Source organism: Homo sapiens, chromosome 2 (genome assembly GCF_000001405.40).
Source record: "Homo sapiens chromosome 2, GRCh38.p14 Primary Assembly".
NCBI classification, from domain to species: Eukaryota; Metazoa; Chordata; class Mammalia; order Primates; family Hominidae; genus Homo; species Homo sapiens.
The window spans coordinates 73,320,867-73,326,866 of record NC_000002.12 but is presented as its reverse complement, the minus strand read 5'-3'; positions in this window follow the sequence as shown (position 1 = coordinate 73,326,866).

Genomic DNA, 6,000 nt, shown 5'->3' with positions numbered 1-6,000 from the left:
TAGCAGTACAAAACATTTTCACATTGGTTCGGCTCTTGCTATGTACCGAGAACTCTGCCCAGGCACTTTAAGTCATCTCATTTAGCACTCAAAACAATCCTATATCTTGAACTGTTATTATTTCTATTTTATAGTTCATTTTTCCTTAAACACAGTAATTTTGCTTTCTTCTAGCTTCTACATCTAAAATGTATATCCCTTTCCCACCCCAGAATTAAATTCTTTTTTCCAATCTACAGAGGTGACAAGACCACCATTAAATTCTACCCTCAAGAATGTACAAAGTGTGCTAAGATTTCATAATTTAAAAAGGAACGTACAAGGTTATTATACTAAGAACAATGGCTTTATTTGAAGTCAGCAAACAAAAGACACCACCACCCTTAGAGTGAAGTGAAGGGTTAAAAATGATAGTAACATTTTGTTCTACCACACTTGGGAGTCCCACAGAATGAGCCATGAAAATTTGACTTCAGAAACCCTTATTTACTGAACAGTGAAAGGAGAAATTGGGGAGGAATGTTACAGCTGGGAGCAAGGTGTTTTCTTACATAAGTAGGATGTAAGTGTAGCCACAGGAAGAATTATATCATGACTCTAAAGTCCTCAAGGCCATGTGAGAAATGAACAAAAAGGATTACTTTATCTGAAATTATAATTCTGAAAAAAAATTCTGAATAAATATTGTTTTTAAAATTAATGGTTGTTGGAATCATCCCCAAATCCTGGAGGTTATATATTTCCCCAATTGTGGTAGTGACAGAGAAAAAAAAGACAAAATTCATTTGTGTGGATTACCATATTCATAATCAATTGCATATTCCTGTACTGCTTCTAGAGTATTTGAAGAATGAATACTTTCCCCTTTTTCTTTCCTTTAAAATACAAGTTGTGGTAAATTTTTTCCTCTTACTTGTTCTCACTTTTCACTATTGTAAGTGGGTGTGTAGGTGGTAGTTAAATTTATAATTCATTCCATAGGTTGAAGAAAATGAAATTATGATAGACTAGATGAGAAATGGGCATCGCTTGGAAATTGCAATCTCCAAGATCAACTGATGGCTCTGAAAATGAAAATAGTAAAGCATGGTGGTTAAGACCAATGAATTTGGGAGATACATGGCTTCAAATTCTAACTGCCACGTTACCTGTGTGCCCTTGTGAGGATCAAATGAGGTGATACACATAAAGTACTTAGAACAATGTCTGGTATGCAATATGTGCTCGAGAAAAATATATTAATGGTCCCATGCTTTCATTTCAAAGTGCTGAACATGACTTTTAGGGAGCTGTTCACGTTATCCCATGAATAAAGCAAGTTTTTGGAGCAGACATTTAAATGTGTTATGATTCTGCCTCCAGTATCCAAGAGTGTCCTTGAAACATTAATTTTCTTAATGACAAGGCACAAGGTGAAGCAACTTGCCTTTCATCTCGGGTGGAATATCCCAACATTTCCCAGATCTCTGCATATTCCATCCATCCAAGAACTTCTCTCAAATGGAAAACTTCTGCATTTTCACAGGATATATCCCTTTGCTCCCTTTACACAGGTTTTAACAAAGCACCCAGTGTACTTATGACTTTTAGTTCTCCAGAACCCTTAGTATGATGCCATCATTCTTGCAAAGAAGCATGTTCTCCTTTGAGATGAAGATGGGGTCAGGGATGCTGCAGCGTTCCAGAGCCCCATTTGGTCCTAGGGTCTCCCAGGCTCTGCTCCTGACTCATCACCCACCTGACTCGTCAGCCTCTGGCTTAGTTTTTCTGTTTGTGAAATTGAGCAAGGTTGGTATGTGGAAGGGGACAAGCAAAATGATGGCAAAAGACCTGAGATGCATGGAAAGTCACAACCAAATAGGCTATCCAGTGGTGAGTGGCAGAGTGATAAATGCCTTGGATGTCAGCTGCAGCACAAACAGGGTCCACGGTGTACTTAAAAACAGGCATTCTCAGCAGATTGAGTCTGTTTTCATTCTGTTTTTAAAAGTGGCAGTGAGGGTGGGGGTGGTAACGAACAACCAAATAGATGAAAAAGGAAAAAGCAACCATTTTATTCCCTTTTTTATGCAGCTTCTGGAACCCACTCAAGTGGCAAGACATCCTATTTCAAGGAAGAGAAATGCTATTTATTAGCCTCTATGTCAACATCCCAGACATCTCATGTAATGACAGGAGAGGGTGATCAACATTTACGGAGAAACATTTAAGAACTTTCATAAATTTGTGTTTCCTATGCAGAGCACTGACAATCCGGAGATGTAATGACGATAATGAAATCTGGGTTTAGGAATTCCTTTGAAACCATTCCAAGCTTGTCAGAGCCTTTGAAAAGCATATGGCTGAAGGCAGCAACGATAATAAAAACCCAAGGAGGCACAGCTCAATCACTCTGCTGCTTTTTCTCCCCCTCGCTGCCTTTGCTATCCGTCCATTATATGCTCTCCGGGCATTGGCAGGACGTCTGTAAATGCCAACGTGAGGCGTTTCTGGTGCATTATTCTAGAAGGCAACATTATTGTTTTTTTCTCCTTTAAAAAAGATTTTGGCAAGATACCTGAGACTCTGGAATGGGCCGCCAAATCTCAGTAGGATTCCAGATGGTTGAGATTCCGGCTCCTGATGCCCTGATGTCTCCCCTCCCTCCTCTCTTAGATATTTTCATTTGTGTTCTCCTCAGAGATAAATATTTTTATGTCAACGAGCCTCAATAGTGGTCACTATTTAACACTTCCAGATTAACATGGAGGTGAACAAGCTTGCTCACATATCCTTGTGAACTTCAGCCTTCACGTCACCCCTTTCCATACTCCTCTCACCCCTTTCAGCCTCCTCCTCTCCTCCCTCCCCTGCTGAGGTGTCCTGTGCAGACCTGACCTACTAATGCTCCCTCTTTCTTTTCCCCATTTAATGGGCTGCTCCCTAATAGGTCCTCAAGCATTCACAGAGCGATGTGTGAGCTTCTCTGTGATCCCCCTGACCTCTGCCTCCAGTAACTGCCATTCTCTGGGCTCCTAGGGCACCCCATGTTGTCCTCGACCGTAGGAATATCACGCAGTGGTTACACACGGACACTTTAGGCAGAACACTTGCTGCAACTCCCAACCCTGCCTCTTGCTAACTGAGTGACCTTGAGCAAGCTACTTAGCCTCTCTAAACTTAAGTTCCCTCATCTGAAAACTGGTAATACTAAAGTTACCTTATAGGATTATTGTGAGGATTGAACAAGATGAAGCCTGTGGTGTGCTGGGTGTAATACCTGTACCTAGTAAGTGTTCCCTGAACACTTAGCTATTGTCATTGTTATCAGAGCACTTCATTTCAACTGTTAGGCGGCTGTCTTCCGTTCTGGATGGTGTGTCTTTATTGTCTCTGATTCCCAATTTCTAGCATAGCAGGTATCAATATATCCTCATAGAGTATTTGCATGTTTAAGTGGGGAGGTTGGGAGGACTGTGCCCGAAATAAAAGCGGTCATTTTAAAAGGGGAAAATTCTGTTATGTGTAAGGCAGGGACCTTTCTCCCACTTTCCTTGTATGCCCATCTTTGCCTCTTGGGGAATAAACACCACATTACCAGTCCTCTCTCAGCTTGGAAGAGATGCTCAAAGCCAAGACTGTGTTTCCTGAGCAGTGTTTTACTGGTGGGCAGAGCAATTATATTTTATGAAAGGTGAGAGTTTAGGCTCCATTCGCTTTCACTCTCTGCCTCCATGCAGTGAGCAGAGCAGGCTTGGCCATCCTTCTAGTCAACCTCCCCTGTCCTAGCTTCTCTGCCTGGATCTGTGGGAGGAAGGGGAGTGGGTAGGCTCTGTAGACTCAACTAGCCTCTCAGAAGAAAGGGCATAGGAAGCATTTTCTAGGCTTTCACACCTAAGCCTTGTGCTCCAACTCAGAGAAGCCCTGCTTCTGGCAGGGAGCATCTACTTGTACACTATTAATAAAGTGATGCTGTGTTTCCCACTTTCATGCAGAGCTGAGGGAACCCTGAAGTGGAGAAGGAACAAGTGCTGGAATTCAGATACCAATATTCCACCCCAGTTGAAATAGAGGATGTGGCTGGGCACCAGTGGCCCATGCTTATAATCCCAGCACTTCGGGAGGCTGAGGCGGGCGGATCACTTGAGCCCAAGAGTTCAAGACCAGCCTGGCCAACATGGTGAAACCCCGTCTCTACAAAAAATTCAAAAATTAGCCAGGCATGGTGGCGAATGCGTGTGGTCCCAGGTACTCGGGTGGCTGAGGTGGGAGGATTGCTTGATCCCGGGAGGCAGAGGTTGCAGTGAGCCGAGATCGCACCACCGCACTCCAGCCTCGGCAACAGAACGAGACTCTATCTCAAAAGAAAAAAAGAATAGAAAATAAATAGAGGCTATGTGGGATAGACTGTGCCTCGGCCGTGCCGGGGACTATGGAAAGGATGGCAACTCTATGCAGACACACTCGAGACATTCCAAGAGGGTGCGTGAGATGGGCCAGAGCAGAGGAATCTTTCTTCTTACTCTCTCCCCTTCTTTTCAGATTAAATCATTTGTGATGACCATGTACTGCTTCCAGAGTTTAAAAAAAAAATCAGGCTTCTCTGATTGAAAGAAACAGAGGCATTAAGCCTGGCTTGGTGGGAGTGAAAAGAAGCCAGGGCAGGGCAACCACCTCTTCCTCCCTTCTCCTTTGAGCCTGAATTCAAGTGTCCTTTGTTTCCCATTCCGTTCCCCACACTGAGCCACACTGTCTTCTCCCAATACCCCCTCAATGTTATAAGTAAATATCCTTTGGCTGGAATTAAGGTGACCTAGATTCTTGCCCAGCTCTGCCCCTAAGTCAGCAGACTTGGGACCTTGGGTCCTTCTCCAAGAGTCAATTTCCCATCTGGAAAATGGCTAGAAATACTTGGCTCTTAAGAGACTGTCAGCTGGGCACAGTAGCTCATGCTTGTGATCCCAGTACTTTGGGAGGCCGAGATGGGCGGATCACTTGAGGTCAGGAGTTCAAGACCAGCCTGGCCAACATGGTGAAACCCTGTCTCTACTAAAAAAAAATACAAAAATTAGCTCAGTGTGGTGGCATGTGCCTGTAGTCCCAGCTACTCAGGAGGCTGAGGCATGAGAAGCATTTGAACCTGGGAGGCAGAGGTTGCAGTGAGCCAAGATCGTGCCTCTGCACTCCAGCCTGGGTGACAGAGTGAGACTCTGTTTCAAAAAAAAAAAGAGAGAGAGAGAGAGACTGTCAAGTTTTGGCGAGATAATATACGTAAAAGCTCTCTCCAAAGTGCACAGTGCTATAAACAATGTCCCAAAGGTTTGAAAAAGTCTTGAAACACTCAACATCCCATAGCCCAACCCCACAGAGTCAAGAGGAGAACAGAGCTAAGGAGTCAAAGACAATAAACACATTCCAATCTCAAGCAATAAGACTCGAATCTAGAAAGGGGACCAGGAAAAGCAGATTTAGCAACCAACTACCTCATGCTGTGACCCCTAGTAAATCACAAATCTACAATTCCACGATTTAGAGTGAGAAGAAATCTTAGTTTATACATTCCTGTCCCCTCACTCTATAGATGCAGAACCCAAGGCTCAGGAGGTCTAGTAATCTCTCCTGGTTCTCAGTCCAGTGCTCTCAACACTACACACACCTCTCTAGAAAATAAGCCTTCAATTCTCAGCTTCTGTAATGTGATAAAACTGTGACTTGGAGAAACTAAGTGAAATTCCCAGGGTTAGAGATCTTGGTGGCTGTAGACCCAGAGGAGAAGCCTGATCCCCCACCTGGTCCAGAGTTGGTGTTCCTGGTTGTCACTGCCGCAATGGGAAAATCCGAATTTCAGTCCCCGTATCCCCAGCTGAGCCCATGCCCATAAGGTGTTCAGTCTTGACAAGGGCTCTTTTGCTAAAAGCCATGACTTCTGAATGATATAACAGACTCAGGAGTATGCCAAGGAGGTCATGGAGTCCAAGCTATGAACCCTTGTGGGACACTAACAGCAAGTTTGGGGCTGTA